Raw genomic sequence first — 25,859 nt, 5'->3', positions numbered from 1 at the left:
TTAAACAAAACAACTACATTTTCAGAAACCCACATTTTAAATTAAATTCTTGTGACACTATCTGAAGTTTCCTTAATGTTTCCAAATAAAAAAAAGTTTCTCATTTTCTTCAGTTAAACTAATTGTATCATTATGTACCAACTGCTTTAAACTAGAGAGAAAACCTATCTGCACAGGTTAAAAACACATACTTACCCATACATATAAACACAAATCAAGCAGATTTTTTTAAAAGTATTTATTATAGTAAAGGTTACTGTTGTAAAACATTAGTGACTTTGGTCCATATCTTATTTGCCATTTGTCTTTAAAACATTTTACATTATTTGCATCATAAATTGTAATTTTTATGACTATACATAATTGGTTTTTTTCCTGACCCTTGGAATGTTAGTTTCATGTAACTTTTTAAAAAATTAAAACATTGCAGACTAAATGTACTGATAAGTACATACTGAACACATTTAATTACCACAGTAATTAAAAAGTCCTGATCTTTACTTCTTAAGATGAAAATTCATTAACTTGCAATCTCTGGGATTTCTCTATTATCCACAATGAGAGTATGAATAATCCCTTCTTTCCGCTTCCCACTACTGACAGCCTTTATGTAACAGTCATGGTTCCCGATACTGAAGTGAGTTTCAGTCCCATCATCTACAAACTCACCCTGGAGCAACAAAAGAAGAAGGAATTAGTGGTGCAGAAACTTTTATCTCTGTCTAGAGCATTCACACCATCTAAAAGTACTAGTAGTGCAATAAAATAATGTATTAGTTAAACAATAAGCTTTGAAAAACAAAGTCTAAAGCTTGTACTTAGATGCTTTTACATTTCTGTTATGAATTGAAAGTTTCCTTTTCATAACCCCTACAATCCTTAAGAATCTTAAATTCTTGGGGGAGGAATATAAACCTCATGACTATGTGTCTATGTTTTCAAAAATAAAAATGATAAATATGACATTTATTAGTTATTTATAATATACCTCAAGTGATCTACCCACCTTAGCCTCCCACAGTGCTGGGATTACAGGTGTGAGCCACTGCATCCAGCCAGGGATGGAGTGTTCTTAGCCACTCTGAAAATCTGATTCCTCTGGGTATAAGGTGGCTTACAGTAAAATATACATATAACAAAACCAAACACCACTAAATCTATACCTGTTCTGTTCAATACAGTAGCCACTGGCCACATGTGGCTATTGGGCACTTCAAATTGACTAGTCTGAAAATAGATATGCTGTTTAAATATAAAATAGACACTGGATTTAGAAGACCTAGTATGAAACAAAAAAATGTATAAAATAACTTTTTATACTGATTACATGTTAAATACTATTTTTGGTATATTGATTTAAATCAAATATAATATTTAACTTCACCTAAAATTTTTTCAAATATGGATACTAGATAAATTAAAATTACACATGAAGGTCCTATCTGTGCCTCATATTATGCTTTGATTGAGTAGCAGTGATCTAGAGTAAAAAGATTAGCGCCAGGTAGCGCAGAGAAGGAAGGAAGAAAGAAGAGGCTTAGAGGATAAAAAAAAGATTTATGCCAGAAAGCAAAGAAACCAAAAATCAGACTTAAACCCCCTGGCTATTAGCTTCCTGGCAGCCAAAGTAGATAGAACAAGGCCCCCCAGTTAACAAACCAAGCCAAAGAAGGCACAGGATGCCTCAGGGAGAGAAGCCTTTTCCTAGCTCTGGGAAGGATGTGGCCCGTGGCTCCTTATGGGAGGTATGCTGAATACCACAAGCATGTCCTTGGGTGCAGTGTGTTCTTGTCCCCATTTTTAATATTGAGCCTTGAAAAAAGACTTCGGAAGAAAGGGCAAGGGTTAGGTAATACAATCTATATACGTAGCTTCTTGGCAATTGGACAAATATATAATTTTGGCACGATGCTTTGAGATAAAAAGGAGAAAATAAGCTGTAACTCACAGGCAACAAGATGAGTTTGTTGTGGGTACGTACAGTACTGGGGAAGGCTGCCTAGATATGGGGCTGCCCAAACTGCCCTGCAAACTAGGTTGTAGTTACAATGAGAAGGCAACTGTGTTATAAAGAGCTATTTCCAAACACATGTAGTTTCCTGTTAATTACTACAAAACAAAGACATGTGGATGAATATTATTTTCACCTTTTTACAACCACAACAACATTCCTTGTGTATGTGTGTGACAGGGTCTTGCTCTTGCCACCCAGGCTGGAGTACAGGGGTACAACTGTAGTTCATTGCAGCCTTGAACTCCTGGGCTCAAGCAGTCCTCCTGCCTCAGCCTCCTGAGCAGCGGGGACCAGGTACACACCACCATACACAGCTAACTTAAAAAAAAAAATTTATAGAGATAGGGCCTCATCATGTTGCCCAGGATGGTCATGAGCTCCTGGCCTCAAATGATCCTCCCATCTTGGCCTCCCAAAGTTACAACTGCATTTTTTTTTTTTTTTTTGAGACAGGGTCTCACATTCTGTTACCGAGGCTGGAGTGCCGTGGTGCAACCTTGGCTCACTGCAGCCTCAATCTCCCTGGGCTCAGGTAATTCTTCCACCTCAGCCTCCTGAGTAGCTGGGACTATAGGCATGTGCCACCATGCTCTATTAATTTTTGTATTTTTAGTAGAGAGGGGTTTCGCCATGTCACCCAGACTAGTCTCTAACTCCTAGGTTCAAGCAATCTGCCCGCCTCAGCCTCCCAAAGTGCTGGGATTACATGCATGAGTCACCTCGCCCAGTACAACCATATTCTTAATACCATAAAACAGCATTCTCTTTACATGTGCACTGGAGAATTTCTTGAATATGGGAGGAAATGCAATTCAAAAGTGCTGATTCCCTATCTAGAGAATTCCAGGGTAGGAAAAAAAGAACAGGAAGAACCACCAGGTATGGCATTGGGCACACAGTAGGTATCTGATCCATGTTAGTGGTAACTGGAGTTTTTCCAAAGGGGGCCATAAAATACTGAAGCACTCTCCAAGCCTCTCTGCATAAAAGAAGTCTCTATCAGTAGATTTAACCCAGAGAACAGCTCAAGCACTCAATTTAGAGTGAGCCCAAATTAAATTCTTCAGGACTCAGAAACAGAAAAGCATTCATCTTCGTAACTTTTAAATTTCAATTGATTGATTAATTTTTTTAGAGATGGGTCTCACTATGTTGCTCAGGCTGGCCTAAAACTCCTAGGCTCAAGGGTCCCTCTCACGTCAGCCTCCCAAGTAGGAAGCCACTACAGACCTGTGCTACCACGTGTGGCTTCATCTTTGTAATTTTTGATTTCTGGTTTTGTCACCTCCTCAGAAACAGCTATCAGACCAAGTAGGTTCTAGGTGGTCTTCTGAATGAATTAATCCCAGACCTCCTTTCCTCCAACTACCAAAATCACCTTTTCTCACTGTCTTAAACCTATACTATACAAATGAGATAAAAGCAACTACAACATGCAAAATGTGACCAGAGAAGAGAGCTTCCGATTATCTCTAGCCCTGATGTTCACATCTGGAGCCAGCATGAAAGGTGGGTCCCAGGGATAGCACTCCCTGCTTGGCCCACAGACCCCATAAGACATGGGGATTACCACCCAGTGATTTCGGCTCCTAGTCCCACACTTTCTGTTTCCCACTCTCTCCCCTGTGCACACTACTACTGTTTCACTCCTGCTTGAAATTCACTCCTACATTCATCCCATCCACAGCCATAGTAATCCAAGCACCTGATAGCAAAAGTCAAACACACTGGAGTCTATCTAGATGGGGATTTCAGTGTGCCTGGCCACAGTGACTGGGGGAGCCTCTTTCTCCTCGCATTGGCACTGCTGGTCTAAAATTCCACTTGTCCTCCGGGGTTCGTGAGAGTGCCCTTTCCTGTTCGTCTACCTTCGTGTCATCTGATATTGTATCACTCATTTTACAAAAATCTCGCTTTCAGAAAAGAACCATCTGCTTTGAGTGTATGGTGTAAAGCATTCCTAAAGTGTGATCTGTGGACCAGTAGCATTAGCAGCACCTAGGGAAATGTTAGAATTAGCATTTTAACAAGATTCCAGGCAATTTCTGTGCATGCAAGTTTGAGAAGCAGTGATAACGCACCACTTCAAATGGATCAACACAAGAGGACACCAACCTCTGGGGATATAATTTTTTAACTAGGGGCTCTTTTTAGGTATTTTACTTGCTATGCTGGAGCCTGGTCCAGGACAGGAAAGGGAGAGTATGAAGCTAGTGCCAGCTAAGAACATGAGTTGTTTCCAAACTCACGGTACCAGGCACCATCTGGCAAAGGTTTTCAGAATCTGAAGTCAGGAGTACTTAATCCCTTTTTTGTTTTTATCAAGAGGGCCTTGATTCATTATAAGATCTCTATAATTAGGAAATGCAGCAACAATTCAATGGTAACTGAGACACATGGCACTTAGAGTCATCAAATAGTCAACTTACCGCTGTCTCCAATTTTTTACCATTGCACCATACGTCCATAGCATCTTTTTCTGTAAAGGTAACATAAAAACTTTAAGTTATAATTCTGTGATTTAAAGATAAAGTTAACTTTTCCTATTTATTACTTTAGGAAAGGATTGATATACCAGATCTCTAAAACTCCATTAATATTCCAAAACCCAACACTTTTTCATGGCTTTCATGGCTTGCAGACTCTCCTAAAATTTGAAGAAGCTGTGTTTGTTCTTTGTTCATAAAACTATAATGAAACAAAACAACCTTTTAAGAGAAAGTTATGGTCTTAATACAAATTGATGAAGCCTTATGAAACAAAATGAATCCAAAAGGACAATCTTTAAAGAAGGATGCATACAGGCCGGGCGCGGTGGCTCACGCCTGTAATCCCAGCACTTTGGGAGACTGAGGCAGGCGGATCACAAGGTCAGGAGATCGAGACCATCCTGGCTAATACGGTGAAACCCCATCTCTACTAAAAATACAATAATTAGCCGGGCATGGTGGTGGGTGCCTGTAGTCCCAGCTACTTGGGAGGCTGAGGCAGGAGAATGGCGTGAACCTGGGAGGTGGAGCTTGCAGTGAGCCGAGACCGCACCACTGCACTCTAGCCTGGGCAACAGAGAAAGACTCCATCTCAAAAATAAATAAATAAATAAATAAATAAATAAATAAAAAAGAAGGATGCATACAGATGAATGTGAGGAGGGACCCTTCCATACAAAATGCCCTTCAATATTGACCAGATGACTCCCCTGCCTCCCACACTCACCCAACTGGGTGATGGCACAAAAGACCACTGAAAGCAGCTGCCACGGGATTTATATAGGATAGACAGCATGTCCGCTTTAGAAATCTAGTCCAGCTTCTTACTAGGTAGTACAATAATGTCTATTCCTTTTCATAATGGTTTCAGTTTAGAGAAAAATTATTGGATTACAAGTAAAAAATAGGTATAGCTGGTGGACTGCACACTAAGGAACAATATGGAACAAAATGCTGCCCCGACACACTTAAATGGATCAGTTAACTTGCCATAGCTCATCTCAGGGTGGAGGAGTCCCCAGAGCCCCTTGCAAATGTTAGTGTCCTCAGGAGTAGCAGGAGAGAAGACTACACTAATCAAGAAGCCAGAAGTTGAGCTTTGGGTATTACAGTGAAGAAGAGAAGGAAGTATGGCCTGTATGTGCACAAGGAGTCTGGGGGTCAGGTTTGAGGCACCAGTCCAGGGTCTTACTGCCTGGCCATCTGCTCCAGGAGCACAGTCTAAAGGGGGTTCTTTCTCTCCCCATACCTTGAGATGGGAGCCTCACTTAGAGATGGGAGAAAAGCCTTTGAGGTGCGCTAGATGGAAAAAGAGAAAGCCAGAGGGGTCCAGGAGATATGGGCAGGGGTCACCTCAGTGGCAGCCTTCATAGAAAGCTGCTATAGTCACAGGTGCAGGTAAACTCAACTTGTCCCAAGACATGATCAGTGCACACAGTGCTATGATAAACCACGATGATGGTAGAAACTGGTATTTTACTTGCTATGCTTACTGAACATGTACGTGTACTCAGAGTTTCTACAATAGCGTATTAGCATGCCTCTGAAGAACACTACTAATCCAGAAGCCCTAAAAGAAAATGTATTAAATTTGACTACATAAAAGTACAAAAAAAGGCCAGGCACGGTGGCTCATGCCTGTAATCCCAGCACTTTGGGAAGCTGAGGCAGGCAAATCACAAGGTCAGGAGTTCAAGACCAGTCTGGCCAACATGGTGAAACCCCGTCTCTACTAAAAATACAAAAAATTAGCTGGACGTAGTGGCGGGCGCCTGTAATCCCAGCTACTCAGGAGGCTGAGGCAGGAGAATTGCTTGAACCCAGGAGGCAGAGGTTGCAGTGAGCCAAAATTGCACCACTGCACTCCAGCCTGGGCGACAGAGTGAGATCCTGTCTTGGGAAAAAAAAAAAAAAGTAAAAAAGCCACAGCACAATTGAAGAAAAATGCACACACATTAGCAAAGTCATGTAATAAATGACAAACTCTGAAAAAAATATGTCAAACTCACAGCATGAACAAAGGACTAAACTTACTAATGTGAAGACTATGAGAAATCAAGGAGAAAAAGACCAACAACCAAAAGAAAATGGGGCAAAGGGCATGAACAGGCATCATGAGAAAGGAAATACAAAAGAAACTTAAAACTAAGATGCTCAACCTCACTTATGAAAAAGACAAAAACAACCCTGAAATACCATTGCTTCACCTAGCAGAATGCCAAAAAATCCAAAAGTTTGGCTACATGTTCTGCTGGAGAACCTGGGGAAAATAGCTAACGGGGGTACAAAATGGTAAAAGTACCATGGAAGGCAAATGGGCAAAATCTATTAAGATGACAAATACAATTAGTCTTTGACCCAGAAGAATAGAAGTCCTACTTTCCTACTTCCAGAAATGTGTACTAATATAATATGTGTCCTGTTCCAAGAGGCATGCAAACAAAGCTATTCATGCAGCATTGCTTCTAACAGCAAAAGATTAGAAACAGCTCAAGTGTTCATCAGTTGGGAATGAGCTAAATACACCATTTACTATTGAAATTTACTCTGCAGCTATAAAAAATATGAAAAAGTTCTTTAGGTTCTGATATAAAAGGATCTTCGGAATATAATAAGTGAATAAAGCAAGATGCTTTTATGTGGTAAGAGAGAATATGTGTACTCGCTTGAATCTGAATAAAGAAACACTAGAGTGACACTAAAAATGGTTATCTTGATGGGGGAACATGGCAGATGGGAACAGGGATGGAAGCAAGACTTTTTAATGTGTCTTTTAATAGCATTTTGATTTCTGAATCTTGAGTATGTAACCTATTCAAAGTGGTATGTTAATAAAAGGACATATCTAGCTGATAAAATTTCAAATCTATTATGACTCAGTGCTGGATTTAGTGACTCATGGGAGTTGCTGCTGCATGTTCATCTTGGAGCATCTCCTCTTTGCCTGCGGATTCCCTCAGCCGCATGAACAATAGCTAGGGACTTCCCAGGTGAGTCCTGAGCAGGTTATGTTCTGTAAATGCTATCAAAGAGAAACTTTTCAGAACAGAAAGAGAATTTCCTTCCAGCGTGAAGTTTCATATGTACTTTCCTCCTGCCAGCTTTATTTTCCTCCCATGGTATTCAGTGGTGTGGAGACTACAAGAGCTGAGAATGCTAACCAACCCTGTTTTCATTGCCCTTATATGCCTCACATTTTTTAGGTGGTGAAAAAAAATGCACATGATCTTTGAGGTCAGCTCTCAGCATCACTCTTTACTAGCAGTACCCTTTGGCAAGTCACCACCACTCTGAGCTTCCATTTCCTCAGGGGCAAATGAAGATGATACCACCTTTCCCATAGGCTGTTATAAGGGTTAGAAATAATTATATAAAGTGCCTAGTATAGTATCTGGCACATAATATGACCTTAGTAAATCATAATGTTTTGTTATTCAAAGCTTTTTTGTGGCCTTGCTCTAATTTCTCAATATAAAATTTAGCAAGTCATATAATATTGTTATTTGAAACTTGCCACATAACATACAAGAGTGAATTTTACCAGGAGACTCTAGATAAGCCCATTCTTTGCCCATGAGTAGTAATAATCACCACAAATAATATTTTTAAATTATTATCAATTTTTTTTTTTTTTGAGACAGAGTCTTGCTTGGTCACCCAGGCTGGAGTGCAGTGGCGCAATCTCAGCTCACTGCAACCTCCGCCTCCCAGGCTCAAGCAATTCTCCTGCCTCAGCCTCCCGAGTAGCTGGGATTACAGGTGCCCACCACCACGCCCAGCTAATTTTTGTATTTTTAGTAGAGATGGGGTTTCACCATGTTGGTCAGGCTGGTCTCGAACTCCTGACCTCAAGTGATCCACCTGCCTTGGCCTCCCACAGTGCTGGGATTACAGGTGTGAGCTACCATGCCCAGCCAAATTATTAAAATTTTGAGGCAGGGTCTCACTCTGTCATCCATGCTGGAATGCAGTGGTGCAATTTAGCTCACTGCAACCTTGAACCCCTAGGCTCAAGTGATCCTCTCGCCTCAGCCTCCCAAGTAGTTGGGACTACAGGCATGTGCCACTACACTTAGCTAATTTTTAAATATTTTGAAGAGATGAGGTCTCCCTATGTTGCCCAGGCTGGTCTTGAACTCCTGGGCTCAAGCGATCCTCCCACTTCAGCCTCCCAAAGTGCTGGGATTACAGGTGTGAGCCACTGCACCTGGCTGACAAATAATATTTTTAAAGAATTCACAATGTGAGAAACACTGTTAAGTACTTTACATGTACTAAATCAATTAAACTTCACTCATATCACAACTCTGTGAGGGAGTTACATTATCCCCATTTTACAGATGAGGAAACCAAGGTTCAGAGGTTAAGTAATTTGCCCATCACACAGCTCTGATCCTGGAGCCTGCATTCTTCATAACTAATCTGTAAAATGTAGGCTGTAGTCAGCATAGTCCAAAGTTTGATGGATCTTGGAAGCAGAAGTGCAAGCAATATCAATAACATATGCAATTTTGCCTTTACCTCAGTAAACAACTCTGGTCCCTTATCCCTTCCAAACAGCAAAAGGGACAAGTTGGGGCTGAACTCTGTCTCATTTCCAGGCTCATGAGGGATTGCAAATGGATAAAGAAGAGTAAAGGCAGACAAGGAGTAAAAGCAGAAAAATATATTTTTTAAAGACCCGAGATAATTCACAAGTAGATAAGCAGGCCCCTGGACATTTAAAAGAGAACTAACTGTATGCTAGGCATAGCTCAGGCAGTCTCTTCCATTTCACCTAGGAAAAGTTAATATCAATTGTATTACAAGTTGGCAAAGCAGCTGATTAAGTACCTAAAATTAATTTAAAGGCCTGGTTTCATCATCTGTTAAAGTCCCATATGTTTAAGTGTGTTGACACTAATCATAATCCTTTTAAAAACTAAAATTTCCATTATTAATGAGATCCAGTGGTTCTAAAACTTTATTGCAGGTTGAGTAACTATATTCCTAAACATATCACTATGAAATTTGGAAATATAAGGGATAAGATGAGCTCCCAAAACCTTCTGGAAAGAAAAAAATGAGATTCAGATTGGCACAAAACTTTTCATTTAAAACAATGGAGAATAGAAGCTACTGGAATAAGGGTTTCAAAAATTCTGAGAGAAAGTGAGTTTGAAATTAAAACTCTGTACTGAACAAAACTATCAACTTAGCATGAGGATCAAAGTAATGTTTATTTCTTAGACACCCTTTATCAGGAGATTACCTAAGGAATATATTCCAGTAAACAAAGATGAAAGCAGGAGTTGTGGGGTTCAATAACTGGAAGAACAAAAGGGTTCCATGAAAGAAAGCCTAGGGTGGCCACAAAGCAGCAGACTTGGATACTTAGAACAGGAGGGCAACAGACTTCCAAGAATATTGTTGTTAAGAATGAAAAGAAGGGTGGGCACAGCTGCTCACACCTGTAATCCCAGCACTTTTGGAGGCTGAGGCAGGAGGATCACTTGAGCCCAGGAGCTCTAGATTAGCCTGGCCAACATGGCAAGACCCTGTCTCTACAAAAAATTTTTTTAAAGTTAGCCTGGCATGGTGACATGGACCTGTGGTCCCAGCTACTCGGGAGGCTGAGGCTGGAGGATCACTTGAGCCCAGGAGGACAAGGCTGCAGTGAGCCATGTTCATGCACACCACTGCATTCCAGCCTGGGCGACAAAGTGAGACTCTGTCTCAAAAACATAAAAGAATGAAAAGAATTCCAAGCAATAGAGAACACGAGTAAAACTGCTAAAAGACATAGGAATATGGGCAAAGAAAAGATATATATCTGCTTCCCATAAGAAAAGAGAAACCCAAACAGAAAAGCCTAGAAAAACAAACAAAAAAAACTCTTCAAAAAGTCCTAGACTTTGATAATTTTGATCTGATGCAGTCCTAAGCCTATTGTTATCTAGGAAAATATTGCTTTCTTACTGATAAATCCTAAATTTCCAACTGCCTTTAAGATATATTTATAAAGAGAAATACCAAATAATACCAAAATCTACATCAATATTACTTTTTTTTTTTTTTTTGAGATGGAGTCTTGCTTTTTTTGAGACTGGAATGCAGTGGTGCGATCTCGGCTCATTGCAATCTCCGCCTCCTGGATTCAAGTGATTTCCCCTGCCTCAGCCTCCCGAGTAGCTGGGATTACAGGCATGTGCCACTATGTCCTGCTAATTTTTGTATTTTTAGTAGGGACGGGGTTTCACCATGTTGGCCAGGCTGGTCTCAAACTCCTGACCTCAGGTGATCCACCCGCCTCAGCCTACCAAAGTGCTGGGATTACAAGCATGAGTCACTGCGCCTGGCAATATTACATTTTTTTAAAACCTAAATTTATAATCCTCAAATCCATCACTATAAAACCTGGCTTAAGATATCTTATATATAAAATGGTGGATTAAATGAATGCTTCATTTACTCAGGACACATTAGAAATACACCTGCTGGACAATATACACACCTGCTAGACAATCCCAAGCAGATAGGAAACAAAAAATTTTTTTAATGTTTCTAAACAAATGAAATACACCTGCACTTACACTCCCTCTTCTTTTCAAACCTCCATAGAAGGTCTGAATACAGTTACAGGAATTAAACAGACATTATAAAAAAAAAAAAAAAGTTCTGCGGAAACAGCACTAACTTACCCAAAACAATTCTAAAGTTCTCACCATCCATGTGTAATACCCAAGTATTGGTGGTTTTTGATCTGTCCTCCATATACTTCTTGAGACTTTTCCCATTAATTTCCAGAGTATATTCATAAGCAAAACCACTGATAGCGTCTATATTTATGGTCGCTTTTGTCTTTGCAGCTCCAACATAGAATGTTTCTTTGCCCACTAATTTGAACATCCACTCTTTTCTTATCTCTTCCTACATAATAAAACAGAAAAATATGAAACAAATGGAAGAAAAATTGATATCTAATTTTAGAAATAACGTAAAGTGAACAAAGGCAATGCCATTTAGATATAATTTCATTGCCGGGAGTGGTGGCTCATGCCTGTAATCCCAGCGCTTTGGGAGGCTGAGGCGGGCGGATCATGAGGTCAGGAGTTTGAGACCAGCCTGGCCAACAGTGAAACCCCGTCTCTACTAAAAATACAAAAAATCAGCAGGGCGTAATGGCAGGTGCCTGTAATCCCAGCTACTTGAGAGGCTGAGGCAGGAGAATAGCTTAAACACAGAAGGTGGAGGTTGTGGTGAGCTGAGACTGCGCCACTGCACTCCAGCCTGGGTGACACAGCGAGACTCCGTCTCAAAAAAAAGAAAAAAAAAAGATGTAATTTTATTAATTTATGATGCCAAGGTTTTAGAAAATAAAAGCATTTTAAGTTTAAATATTACACGCTATATTCCATGAATTCTATAACTATGTTTGCTTTACACAGCAAAATGATACAGATCAAAAACATGACTACAAGAAAAAAAAGCCCTGAATTCACATATGAAGATGCTACTTTAACAAAATCAAGTTTCTCTATATATCATATTTTACAAAGTAACATATTTTCTTCCTACCTTTCCATCTACATATACTACTCGTTTGCCTGATGTAGTCCCATGTTCAAATTCGATCTTGTGGACTCCGTCACTTAAAGCAACATCCCAAACAGCTACGAGATCTGTCATTTTTTCTAGGCTGTAAGGAGGGCTAAAGGAATAAAATAAAGCAATTATAGTAGGCCAAAATACTAATTAAATAACCAATTAATCCTTCCAAGATGAAAATATTAGATTAAAACCTCTAAAATGTCAAAATATTAAAGTGACAGTACCTAAGAAATTCTACTCACAGTACATGTAACTATTTTCTCCCTCTTATTCACTCTTCCTTTAAGATACAACTACTATATATGGGTACATAGTCCGATTACTTCTAAAAAAAAGCCACCTTAATATTAATAGGATTAAGAATGCATCAGTTTATCCTGGTCAGTATTCTAGGTTAGGCTACAGTATAGTGCATGGAAAGGTCAGTAAAAAGTCTTTATTCTTCTCCCACCAGCTCCCATGTAAAAACCATGGTAATTAATTTTATTTCTCTTTTTCAGGTCTAATCACTCTAAAACAAGAACTCTCCAAACCTCCCATACTTAAACTCGCACTAGGGATTTGTTTTAACAAAAAGGTTCTAATTTATTATACTAAGACAGAAAAAAGTCATGGAAGAAATGCCCTATAATAAAGATAAAAATAATTTTTAAATGTTATGAAAAATATTCTTGGCATTATTACAGGAAATCTTATTTTAAAAAAATAAAGGACTTTGGGCTGGGTGCAGGGGCTCATGCCTGTAATCCTAGCACTTTGGGAGACTGAGGTGGGCAGATTACTTGAGCCCAGGAGTTCCAGACCAGCCTGGACAACATGGTGAAACCCTGTCTCTACAAACATATTAGTCACACGTGATGGCGCATGCCTGGAGTCCCAGCTACTTGGGATGCTGAGGTAAGAGAGCCATCTTAGCCCAGGAGGTTGAGGCTGCAGTGAGCCATGATTGCACCACCACGTTCCAGCCCGGGTGAAAGAGTGAGACTGTCTCAAAAATAAGAAATAAATAAAGGATTTTGGTTTGTCAGAGATTTCTGGCATATACTTCAACATATATTTTTGATGTTAATATATCCTATGTGAATGACATAATACATAATATCTAATTAATATTTTGATATTGGTGTATCTTTTTAGCTTTGACAGAAGTATCATTTATTACAGTAATAATAATCATAGCTAACAGCTATTAAGTGATAACTATGTATCAGTCATTGTTCTAAGAGCTTTAAATATATTAACTCATAGAATCACCATGAGATGGCTACTATTAGTATCCTTATTTTACAGATGAGGCTTAGAGAGGCTAAGGGTTTACCTAAGGTCACAATGACATTAAGTGGCAGAGGTAGGATTTAAACCTAGGATTCTGGCTCCAAAGCCTGTTCTCTTAACTACATCTTCCTCTTTGTTCGCCCTAATCTCCTCTGTACGCTCTAAACTGAAGATGGTAAATGGATTTTATATCATTTTGAAGTGGTTGCCAAGAACTCTGTGCTGACAGAAATGAGAAGACCTCACATCAAGGCTCTACTGAAATGGATGCCATGTTTCTAGTGGCTACCTCCACGCCAGGTATTTACTACTCCTGCTTTAAATCACACAAAAGCAGAACCATGTATTCTGCAATTTTACAAAATGTATTCTTAACAGAGTATCTTGGATAAATCACTCTTTTGAATGATAACAATCTTGAAAATGTCAAAGGCTAGTTTACTGCAATATAAGACATTTACCTTTCATCATCTTCAAAGATAGGACTGTCATCTCCAGATGCCATGGTTGGCAAAAACAGTCTTTAATCCAATTAGCAGCCAGGAAAGAAAAAAGCAGAATTGCAGCAAAGAAAGATTGAAAGCAACAATGATGACATCTACAAAGGGTTTTTCTAATTTTGCAATCCATTTATTAAATTACATGGAGTTTCAGATGAAACAGCTTCTACATAAAATAGAATTGCAATCTTTAATTCTCAGAGAAAGATGTTACATCATGCAAATCAGTCAGTCATATTTTTCCCTGTTATGGATTTATAATTTCTTAAAGGTATACTTTATCAAAACTAAAGAACAAACTCTCCTTTGTTGCAAGTGTTATAGCATATCAGAGCTGCAAGAGACCTAAGAGATCCTCTGGGTCCTATGCTTTTCAAGTTGAAGCGTAAGAAGCCCCAAGGCTATGAGTCAGGGAATACATCAAACTCCAGGATAAACACAATGTATCTTCTGGGAGCATCAATGTTAAAGTGGCAACTAATTTAAAATGTAATCTTTATTTTAGAAGGCTACACTATGGTGGAACATAACTTTCAAAATCTGTTTAGATAACTTCAAAGAACTAATGAGTTTGCAAGAAGCAGACAGGGATATGCTGGTCTGCTCTCAAAGAGTGAACTTAATTTATCCCCTTACTTAAGCCCATTTAATTTACTAGTGCCAATGATGAATCCACAAAAGTTATGTGCCTTGCTCATGTAACTGGCAGGATCCAACCCAGAACTAGAGCCCAGTACTGTACTATGCAATGAACTAAACAGTAACTGGGCTGCAGTGTTAATTAAGCTGTACTAAAATCAGAAGTGCACATAAATTCACATGCATAGGAAACCCTCACATTTGAAGATTTGGGATTAACAGTTTCACTCCTGCCAAAGTATCCTAAATTCAACTATTTTTTGCTTCCAAGATCTATCCTAGTTTAGCCCTTTCCTTAATTAGTGCCTGTTTCCTACAGATGCTCAAGAATGCTCTCTCCTGGTTAAAAATGGGAGACTGCTAACCCTTTCTGTCTGGAAACAGCCAGAAGTCACAAATTATTAAAAAGTTTTTTGTTTGTTTTTGAGACAAAGCCTCACTCTGTCCCCCAAGCTGGAGTGCAGTGGCATGATCTTGGCTCACTGCAACTTCTGCCTCCTGGGTTCAGGCAATTCTCATGTCTCAGCCTCTTGAGTAGCTGGGACTACAACTGCATGCCACCACATCCGGCTAATTTTTTGTATTTTTAGTAGAGATGGGGTTTTGCCATGTTGGTCAGGCTGGTCTCGAACTCCTGGTCTCAAGTGATCCACCTGCCTCGGCCTCCCAAAGTGCTGGGATTACAGGCATGAGCCACCACATACCCAGCCAAAAAGATATTAAAGAAGAAATTAGCACTCATAAAAGCAATCCAACGGGCCAGAAAAGCCAAGGATTTTAGAATAAAAACTAGATAAATATTTGTACCTAAAATAAATCTCTCTTTTATAAAATTAGCACCACACAAATTTGTGAACTTTTCTACTCTTAAGGATTATCCCCTATGAAACCAGAGGGTATCCTACAACAATAAAAACAAAAAGAATACATAGCAATATAATAAGCCAGCCAGGCATGGTGGCATGCACCTGTAGTCCCAGCTACTGGGGGAGGCTAAGGTGGGAGGATCGCTTGAGCCTAGGAGTTAGAAGCTGCAGTGAGTGGCTGCAGTGATCATGCCACCGCACTCCAGCCTGGATGACAGAGTGAGACCCTGTCTCAAAACAGGTATCTATATATATACTATATATAATATATAGTTACTATATACACTATATATACTAAATATACTATATATAATATAGTATATATAGTATCTATATCTATATGATCTAATTAGATATCTAATTAGATAATATAGATAGATAATATATAGATATATACTATATATAAATAGTATCTATGTCCAAAATAATAATATATATTATATATTATATATAGTAGATACTATATACATACATATATATATACACACACACGTATATACACAATGTAATTATATGTACTCCAGCCTGGGTGACAGAGTGAGACCCTGTCTCAAAACATATATATATATATTATATATATAGATATGATATATAGATCTATTATAGATAGACAGATAGTATAAGATAGTATAATTACATGTACTCCAGCCTGGGTGACAGATATAGATAGACAGATAGGTAGATAGGTAGATAGAGAGAGATATATATAGATATACATATCTGTTTTGAGACAGGGTCTCACTCTGTTGCCCAGTCTGGAGTACATATAAATACTATATATATATTTATATACATATTATATTTATTATATATACATATTATATATAATATATACATATTATACATACATATAATATAAAAAATAAGCCAAACAGCATAATATAAACTTTGATAAGGCATCCTTTGTAAATCAGAATGTATTTAGGGGTGCTATTCAAGTTTTGCTCTTCAATTTTCAGAGACTCTAGAAAGTTCAGTAATGTAGGTATTCAAACCTAAAACAATTGCTCTGTTTTCTATTATAAGGAATTCCAAATACTACTAAATCACACTAAGATACAACATCTTAATTATAATACCTTTTCATGGAGAAGTATAAAAGGCAATACCACCAATTATAAGAAAGATTAGAAATCATGATCACATTAAAACATTTTTTCTTCTCTAAACTATGAACAATCATTCAGGCATTCAACAATTATTTAAGGACTACTTAAAAAATAGCAATTTTTAATTCTCCAATAATTAAAAGTGTACATGACAGGAGAGGATTATAAACAAAGATAAGAGTAAGTACTGAAGCAATTATCTGGCAAATTTGAAGCATTCTAATTCTACTTATATAACTATATATCAAAATTGATGTTTCTTCTTAAACCAAGTAACAAATCAATATAAAATTTGTTACTCTCTTTGCCAGTTTTTCTCTGATTAAATAAAATGTTGTTTTAATACAAAGTAATATTTCAATTTTCTTGTTCATGCTATCCATTATTTTAAGCAAAACACTAAAAAAATCTTTTTATAAATGGTTAATAATTATAAAATACTGTTATAATTACTCCTTGGAGTGTGCATGGTGGCTCATCCCTGTAATCCCCGCACTTTGAGAGGCTGAGACAGGAGAATCATTTGAAGCCAGGAACTCGAGACCAGCCTGGTCAACAGAGTAACACCAAAAAAAATTAGCTGGGTGTGGTGGCACGTGCCTATAGTCCCAGCTACATGGGAGGAGGGAGGATCGCTCGATTCTAGGGGTTTGAGACTGCAGTGAGCCATGACCATGCCACTGCACTCTAACCTGGCCAACAGAGCAAGACCCTGTTCCAAAAGCAAAAAACAACAACAACAAAACAAACGAAATTATTCTTTGGAACATTAAAAGTATATTCAGCTTATAAAAGGCTGAAATACTTCAAATTTTGTACCATTTTAAAAGGCAGAGATTAACTTTAAAAACTGCTTTCTATGCAAGGATTAAAGTGACCAGTATCTTATAACAACAGCCTTAACCAAAATATGAGAGAGTCATACAATTTTCAGCACTGGAAAACAAAAAACAATAAAATCACCTGGTCTAGCCTCTCTCCTTCATTACGGGGAAATCAGTAACACATATCCCTCCAAGTGCCATCTCCACTGCCAGTCCTGGGTTCTTATTACCTATCCAACTTTCTAACAAAGCTGTAGAGGGTGCCAATAATGCACACAGAGCAAAGAAAACTTTTCAAATGATCTTACCACAAACAATAATTCCCATCAACAAATCCCATCTAATGTTTAAGAAAAATGTCCAAAATCAACTCTGCCTCCTGCTTTTGGGCTTCTCTATCACCTATCCCAGCAGTTTCACTAGTCTTATGACCTCTGTCAGTTTACACATTCCATTCCAATTTCACCACTTTAAAATTTAATTGAAATTGCTCTTCTGGCTCAAAAGCAGGAGAGCACACATAGAAAACACTCTTAATAGCCACAAATGCAACAGGTTAACAGACTGACATCTGTTTTTTGGCCATTCATATCAGGGAAAATCATTAAAAACCACTAGTCAACTCATCAAATGCACGTAAAAATATGCCCACTAGTGAGTCTTTAGGGAAACATGAAATAAAATAGAGATTTAGGTTAGAGGTCTGAAAGGAAGTAAACATGAATAATTATTCTAAAAGGCACTAAAGCACAGAGATCAATGTTTACTTAAAACAGACTTTAAGATACTTTGGCCCATCAGCTGATTTTTCATTTTGAGAATATCCTCACACAAAAGTCAACTTACTTCTTCGTAACTGGTGATTCTCTGGATGGTCTATACAAAGTAATATCAGAATGAGCAAATGTAATCCATTAACTCAACAAATAGTTAAATGCCCACCAAATGTTCTGAAAGCACTCCAAAGTCAAATACAGATGGTCCCCGGCTTATAATGGTTTGACTTAATGATTTTCCGACTTTAAGATGGTGCAAAAGAGATACGTGTTTGGTAGGAACCATACTTTGAGTACCCATACAACCATTCACTTTCACTACAGTACAAAAAATTACAGGAGACAGCCAAGACTTCATTGTAACATAGGCTTTGTGTTAGATGATTTTGCCCAAATGTGGGCTAAGGTAAGTATTCTGAGGACACTTAAGGTAGGCAAGGCTAAGACATGATGTTTGATAGGTTAGGTGTACTAAATCCATTTTCAACTTATAATATTTTCAACTTGCAATGGGTTTATTGGGATATAACCCCATCACAAGTCAAGAAGCATCTGTACATGTTTTTGTTTTTGTTTTGAGACAGGGTCTTGTTCTGCTGCCCAGGCTGGAGTGCAATGGTATATTCAATGCTCACTGCAGCCTCAACCTCCTGGGCCCAAAGGATCCTCCCACCTTAGCCTCCAAAGTAGCTGGGACTACAGGTACACACCACCACACCCGGCTCATTTTTGTATTTATGGTAGATATGAGGTTTCACCATGTTACCTAGGCTGGTCTTGAATTTGTGGGCTCAAGTAATCCACCTGACTTGGCCTCCCAAGGTGCTGAGATTACAGGCATGAGTCACCGCACCTGGTCGTACATGTCTTTTAAATTTTTCTATGGTTTTGTATGATTTGCAGCAGCTATGCTCTATTTGTTTTCTCAAGGGGAGATGTACCTTCACAACAAAAGTTTTCTTATGATAAATGTCCAGGCTTCAGTTTTTCCATTCAACATTTGAACCTGCTATCAAGAGATACTGTACTAGACGCTGTCAGAAATTTGAAGAAAATCCTTCTTTTTTTTTGTTTTTTGAGATAGGGTCTCACTCTAGTCATCCAGGCTGGAGTGCAGTGGTGCGATCTCAATTCACTGCAGCCTCGACCTCCTGGGCTCAAACAATCCTCCCACCTCAGCCTCCTTAGTAGCTGGGACCATAGGCATGTGCCACAACACCCAGCTAATTTTGTAATTTTTTGTGAAGATGAGGTTTCACCATGTTGCCCCAGCTGGTCTCAAACTCCTGAACTCAAGTGATCCTCCCACCTCGGCCACCCAAAGTGCTGGGATTACAGGCATAAGCCACCATGCCCAGCCTGAAGAAAATGTTTCTGTCCTTAAAGAATTTGAGAGTTCAGAAATAAATCCACATATCTGTGGCCAAATGATTTTTGACAAGGGTGCCAACTCTAACTGGTGGGGAAAGAATAGTCTCTTCAACAGATGTTATGGGGAAAACTAGATTTTCATACACAAGAGAATTAAGTTGAACCTCACCTATCTCACACCATATACAAAAGTTATCTCAATGATCTAAATGTAAGAGCTAAAACCACAAAACTCTTAGAAGAAAACATAGAGGTAAATCCTCATGATCTTGGATTTGGCAATGGATTCTTAGATAGGACACCAAAAGGATAGCAGCAAAAGAAAAAAATAGATAAATTGAACTTCATCAAAAGTTAAAACTGACTGGGTGTGGTGGCTCACACCCGCATTCCCAGCAATTTGGGAGGCCAAGGTGGGAGGATTGCTTGAGCCCAGGAGTTCAAGACCAGCCTGGGCAACATAGGGAGACCCCATCTCTACAAAAAAATTTAAAAACTAGCCAGGCATGGTGGTGCATGCCTGTAGTCCCAGCTACATGGGAGGCTGAAGTGGGAGGATCACTTAAGCCTGAGAGGTCAAGGCTGCAGGTGAGCTGTGATTGCACCACTGCACTCCACCCTTGGCAACAGAATAGACCCTGTCTCAAAAAAACAAAAACAAACTAAAATTTTTGTGCATCAAAGGACATTATCTAGAAAGTGAAAGGACAAGGATGAGAGAAAATATTTGGAAATCATATATCTGATAGAGGTTTCATATTCTGAATATATAAAGAACTCTACTGCTCATAAACACAAAAGACAACCCAATTTAAAAATGGGAAAGGGGCCGGGCGCAGTGGCTCACACCTGTAATCCCAGCAATTTGGGAGGCTGAGGCGGGTGGATCACCTGAGGTCAGGAGTCCGAGACCAGCCTGGCCAACATGGTGAAACCCCATTTCTACTAAAAATACAAAAAATTAGCCGAGTGTGGTGGCAGGCACCTGTAATCCCAGCTAGCTACTCGGGAGGCTGAGGCAGGAGAATCGCTTGAACCCAGGAGGCGGAGGCTGCAGTAAACCAAGATCATGCCATTGCACTCCAGCCTGGGCAACAAGAGCAAAAGCCTGTTTCCAGGAAAAAAAAAAAAAAAAGGCAAAGGACTTCCACAGACATTATTCTAAAGAAGACATACAAATGGTCAATAAGCACATGAAAAGATGCTAAACAACATTAATCACGACAGAAATGCAAATCAAAACAACAATGAAATACAACTTCACATCTACTAGGATGGCTATACTAAAAATAAACAGAAAATAATCAGTGTTGGCAAGGATGTGGAAAAACTGGAATCCTTGTACATTGCTAGTGGGACTGTAAAATGGTGAAGTTGTCATACAAAATGATATGACAGTTCCTCAAAACCTAAACAGAGAATTACTATATGACCTAGCAATTCTGCTGCTAGGAATGCACTCAAAAAGTTTTGAAATCAGCCACTCAGACACCTGTATACTATTGTTCATTGTAGCATTTTCCAATAGCCAAAAGATGAAAACAACCCAAGTTGTCCATCAACATAAGAATAAACAAAACGCGGTACATACACTTGATCTCGGCCAAAAGGCTGAGAAGTGATAAAATGCATATATATACAAAGGATATTCCTTTTCATTCAGCCAAAATAAGGAGTGATATTCTGACATATGCTATAACATGGATGAACTATGAAAACTTTATGCTAAGTGAAATAGCCAGACAAGGCCGGGCGCGGTGACTCACGCCTGTAATCCCAGCACTTTGGGAGGCCGAGGCGGGCGGATCACGAGGTCAGGAGTTCGAGACCATCCTGGCTAACACGGTGAAACCCCGTCTCTACTAAAACTACAAAAAAATTAGCCAGGCGTGGTGGCGGGCGCCTGTAGTCCCAGCTACTCAAGAGGCCGAGGCAGGAGAATGGCGTGAACCCGGGAGGCGGAGCTTGCAGTGAGCTGAGATCGCACCACTGCACTCCAGCCTGGGTGACAGAGCGAGACTCCGTCTCAAAAAAAAAAAAAAAAAAAAAATAGCCAGACAAAAAATGACAAATATGATTCCACTTATATAAAATACCCAGAAAAGGGACATTCGTAGAGGCAGAAAGCAGATTAGATGTTCCCTGGGAATGGGGGAAGGGAACAATGAGAAGTCTCAGTCTCTTTCATGCTGCTACAAAGGAATACCCGAGGTTGCATAATTTATAAAGAAAAAAGGTTTATTTAGCTCATGATTCTGATGTCTGGAGAAGCTCAAGATTGGGCATCTGCATTTGGTGAGGGCCTCAAGTTGCTTCTACTCATGGCAGAAGGCAAAGGAGAGCTGGCTGTGTAGAGAGCATGTGACCAGAGAGAAAGCAGGAGAGACAGCGGGGAGGTACAAGCTCTTTTTATCAAACAGCTCTAGTGAGAACTGATAGAGCAAAAACCCATTCACCTCCAAGGGAGGGCATTAATGTATTCACTGGGGATCAGCCCCCATGACCCAAACACCTCCCATTAGGCCCCACTTCCCAATACTGCCACACTGGGGATCAAATTTCAACATGAGATTTGGTAAGTACAAATATCCAAACCATAGCACAGAGTTATTGCTTAATGGTTACTGTGTTTCTGTTTAAGGTATTGAAAAGTTTGGCAAATAGATAGTGACAATGATCGCACACTATTGTGAATGTACTTAATGCCCCTGAATTGTACACTAAAAAATTGTTAAAATGGCAAATCTATGTTGTATATATTTTACCACTTCAAAAAGTTAATTATATTAGAAAGAATTGTATACTTTAAATGGGTGAATTTTATGGTATGTGAGTTATATTTCAGTAACGTTGTTAAAAAAAAAAACAAAAAAAGAAAAAAAAATGCAGGTGTCCTGGCTGTAGTGTTTCTTGGGATGCAACTGCACCTGTAACCAAAAGATGATAACATCTGTCCTTGTCCCCAATTTCCACTTCACTCAGAAATATCTGTCACATAGATCTCTAAGTTACAAATTCAATTTAATAAACACATGTCATATTCTAAGTTCATCCAGCATACCAATAGTTATTGGGTACTTATGTACCAGGCTCTGGGCAGGGCACTAACCTCAGAGTGGCAGAGTCCGGAGATACCAAGAGATGATTATAGCACAACAGTGGGAGTGTCCTTATAAAGGGAAGCAGCATAGGATAGAATGGGCCATAGAGGAAGGGTCGTAGCTCTGCCGAAGAAGGCTTTGGTTTAAAACTTTGGAGAAAGTGGCCAGGCGCGATGGCTCACACCCCGTAATCCCAGCACTTTGGGAGGTCAAGGCGGTCGGATCACTTGAGGTCAATAGTTCAAGACCAGCCTGGACAAAACGGTGAAATCCTGTCTTTGCAAAAATAGAAAAATTTGCCGGGCATGGTAGCGCACGTCTGTAAATCCCAGCTACTCCGGAGGCTGAGGCACAAGAATCGCTTGAACCCGGGAGGTGGAGGTTGCAGTGAGCCGAGATCATGCCACTGCACTCCAGCCTGGGTGACAGAGGGAGATTCTGTCTGAAAAATAAAAAAATGAAACTTGGGAGCAAGAAATTAATCCACTGTTGTTTTTAAACTCTTATGCATGTACTTAATTTTCAAGATTCTATGACCAAACTGGAAAATGATAAATACAAAAAACCCTCTATTTTTGCAAATATTTTATTAAAATGTAAATTTAAAAAGATGAAAAACCATATTCCACTTACTTTCACTGATGGAGATGATACCAAGCACTTGAAACTTTTTACATGTCTTTAAAGAAAGCTTTTTGCGTATCTCATACGTACCCATCAATCTTTTAAAATCCCTTCCCTAGCAACCCAACACCTAAGTTTCAGAGCATGACTTAAACACCAACACGTTGCCACTGTTCATCTAATCCACCTGAATTTTGCCTTAACTTAGGTTTATTCTTACTGGGGACTGAAATGGTTCGTTCAAGATAAACCGAAGTCAGTTTAAAAATTACTAGATGATAGTAGTTACTAAGATGCTCATGGTTCCCTTTTCAGCAAAGGCCCCCAGGTAGGGCCAGCCAATAATGCAAGTCACACTCAAGTGTTGACATCTTCATCTCCGGGCCGGCCCCTTATGAAGTGAGGGGGGTCTCCAGTAAAATCACTCAGGAAGCTCCTCGAGCCAAGTATTCCCAAATGCTACTTACTGGAGGTACAAAAAGGAGAATAACTTTTCTGAGGGCCATTTCACAATCTATACCAGAAGCCTTGTGGTATAGACCGTGGATTCTATCTTGTTTTAGAACGAATCTTGTGCGATTCTTTCTACAGAAATGATCACGCTCAAAAACCCAGATACAACGATGCTCAATGAATTACTTTTTGCAATAACTAAAAACTGAAAACCACTTGTACGCTCACCATCAGGGAGAAACTACATTTAGTAAATCACAGTCCAAAGCCATGCCAAGAGTCAGGGATGGATGAGGTAGTCAACCTGACACACAGGAATGTACAGTCGAGAGAGAGAGAGAGAGAGAGAGAGAGTCGAGAGAGAGAGAGAGAGAGTCGAGAGAGAGAGAGTCGAGAGAGAGAGAGAGAGAGAGAGAGAGAGAGAGAGAGAGAGAGTTTCAGCACTTTATGATGCAGGTTCTGCAAAAACAAGCCCCGCTCATGTTACAAGGAAAAACCATCTGGAAGAATATACACCCTCATGTTAACGCAGCTTGTCTCTGGGGAGCAGCGGCACGGCTGCTTTGCTTGCTTCCTTGCTTTCTGTTCCACGTTTTCGACAGTGAGAAGTATTATCTTTAGAGGTCGCGAACAGGCCGGAGGAGGGTGCGGCAGGTCGCGGGGCAGGGCCTCGCTAGGCAGGGACGCCCCCGCACCGCCCCGGGCTGGCCCCGCGCCCCGCGCCCCGCCGCACCTCCACCTTTGCCGGCGGTGAGCGGGAGCCGCGTCCCGCCCCGAGGTCTGGGATCACCGGCGGGCCGGCTGGAAGCGTCCGGAACTCACCCAGCGTCTCACCCGCGCGGGTCTCACCGACCGCGCAAACACCGCCCGCCGCCGCCGCCCAGAGATGGCCGCCGCCGGCGCAGCAGGGCCGAGAGCGTGGGGACGCCGGGGGGCTGAGTGCAGGGGTTTCCAGGGTGCGGAGCGGGCGGGCCCGAGGCGTCCGGGCGGGCGCAGGCGCGACACCGACCCCACCCGGTCTGCTGCCTCACCTGTGCTCTGTGGGCCGCGGGAGGCTCTGGGGTAGGTTTCACCAAACAACCGGTTGGTTCCGACTCGGCTGCGTAGGCCGCGTGGCCTTGCTCCCCTGGCCGAGAAACAGGCGCAGCCGGCGCGGAGGTTGAAAGCTCTGCAGGCGCGAGTACCAAACGCGCCGACTGTTTGTCGCGCCTCTCAGGTCCCCTGGGGCGACCAGCGCAGGAGGCCACCCCTCCCGCCGCCACGGACCCAACCCTGGTCCTCTGCCTTAGCCGAAGGCCGCACCCTCCGCGCATAGGCCTTCCTCAGCCCCAACCCAGGACATCACCATGTCCCGCAGTGCGTCCAGTCTTCCTGCCAGCAAGTGTGGGTAGGAGCCGGCCGCTGGCCCCGCTCTGGGCTAGACGGTGGGGACATACTGGCGGGCAAAAACAGCCCTGTGCCTGCTCTGCAGCTATGGGGAAGGAATATCTGTTCATGGCAGCAATAGCATTCGCTCCTTAAAACCTCTTTATGAGTCTCATTCCTTTTTTAAAGACCCAAACTACTTAAGGTGGGCATGAAGCCCCCATGTGTGATCTAGCCTCTGCCTGCTTGGCTTCATTTAGGTCCTTAAAGGATGCAGGTTTCTTCTCGCCCAGGGCCTCTGCAAATGCTCTTCTCTCTGCCTGGACACTCCTCACCTCTTCCCTATTGTGAGAGTTCTTCATATATCATTTCTTAGATTACACTATCCTGGCCCATAAGACTTGCAGCATTGCTGGGTGTGGTGGCTCATACCTGTAATCACGGCATTTTGGGAGGCAGAGTGGCGGATCTCTTGAGTCCAGGAGTTCAAGACCAGCCTGGGCAACATGGTAAAAAAAAAAAAAAAGAGAGAGAGAGAATGAGAAAGAAGAAAAGAAAATAATTAGCGGCTCAGGCCTGTAATCCTAGCTACTTGGGACGCTGAGGTGGGAGAATTGCTTGGGCCCTGAAGGGAGGTAGAGGCTGCAGAGAGCTGTGATTGCACCACTACACTCCAGCCTGGGCAACAGAGCGAGACCCTGTTTCATTAAAAAAAACACACACAAAAAGAAACAGCCGGGCTCAGTGGCTCACGCCTGTAATCCCAGCACTTTGGGATGCTGAGGCAGGCATGGCAAAACCCCGTCACTACTGAAAATATAAAACTTAGAGGGGCGTGGTGGTGCATGCCTGTAGTCCCAACT

At 40.7% G+C, this 25,859-nt stretch overlaps 1 protein-coding gene across 6 annotated transcripts, besides 2 other annotated features; it reads right to left on the bottom strand.

The window, feature by feature from the left end:
* FAIM (Fas apoptotic inhibitory molecule) lies at positions 224 to 24,829 on the bottom strand. Of its 6 annotated transcripts, XM_011512950.4 has the most exons (7): positions 24,663 to 24,829; positions 22,563 to 22,996; positions 13,830 to 13,889; positions 12,061 to 12,193; positions 11,184 to 11,412; positions 4,444 to 4,493; positions 224 to 670 (listed from the first exon to the last, which is right to left on the bottom strand). In XM_011512950.4, exons 2-7 carry the CDS (start codon positions 22,640 to 22,642, stop codon positions 521 to 523), a joined length of 702 nt encoding a protein of 233 aa, XP_011511252.1. In that variant the 5' UTR covers positions 22,643 to 22,996; positions 24,663 to 24,829; the 3' UTR covers positions 224 to 520. The 6 variants fall into 6 exon arrangements, with proteins under 6 accessions (XP_011511252.1, NP_001028202.1, NP_001028203.1 ...); NM_001033030.2 differs by lacking the exon at positions 13,830 to 13,889; NM_001033031.2 differs by lacking the exon at positions 22,563 to 22,996.
* Positions 24,092 to 24,181: an enhancer, noted in NCBI's record as "active region_20604". NCBI's record gives its function as "activates an Ori minimal core promoter by ATAC-STARR-seq in GM12878 lymphoblastoid cells {active_cell/tissue: GM12878}" and the evidence as "EXISTENCE:reporter gene assay evidence [ECO:0000049][PMID:35858748]".
* Positions 24,282 to 24,741: a silencer, noted in NCBI's record as "silent region_14765". NCBI's record gives its function as "represses an Ori minimal core promoter by ATAC-STARR-seq in GM12878 lymphoblastoid cells {active_cell/tissue: GM12878}" and the evidence as "EXISTENCE:reporter gene assay evidence [ECO:0000049][PMID:35858748]".

Source organism: Homo sapiens, chromosome 3 (assembly GCF_000001405.40).
Source record: "Homo sapiens chromosome 3, GRCh38.p14 Primary Assembly".
Lineage (NCBI taxonomy): Eukaryota > Metazoa > Chordata > Mammalia > Primates > Hominidae > Homo > Homo sapiens.
The sequence above is the reverse complement of the archived record's forward strand: the minus strand, read 5'-3'. Positions and strand labels throughout refer to the sequence as shown.

Excerpts from the sequence above, each read along its gene's own strand:
- FAIM (XM_011512950.4), bottom strand. The coding sequence starts at position 22,642 with ATGCTGCTTCCCTTTATAAGGACACTCCCACTGTTGTGCTATAATCAT. Across the intron at positions 13,890-22,562 it reads CCGGACTCTGCCACTCTGAG|ACTGTTTTTGCCAACCATGG; the intron begins GTTAGTGCCCTG and ends ATTGGATTAAAG. Across the intron at positions 11,413-12,060 it reads TAGTATATGTAGATGGAAAG|GAAGAGATAAGAAAAGAGTG; the intron begins GTAGGAAGAAAA and ends TTTATTATGTAG.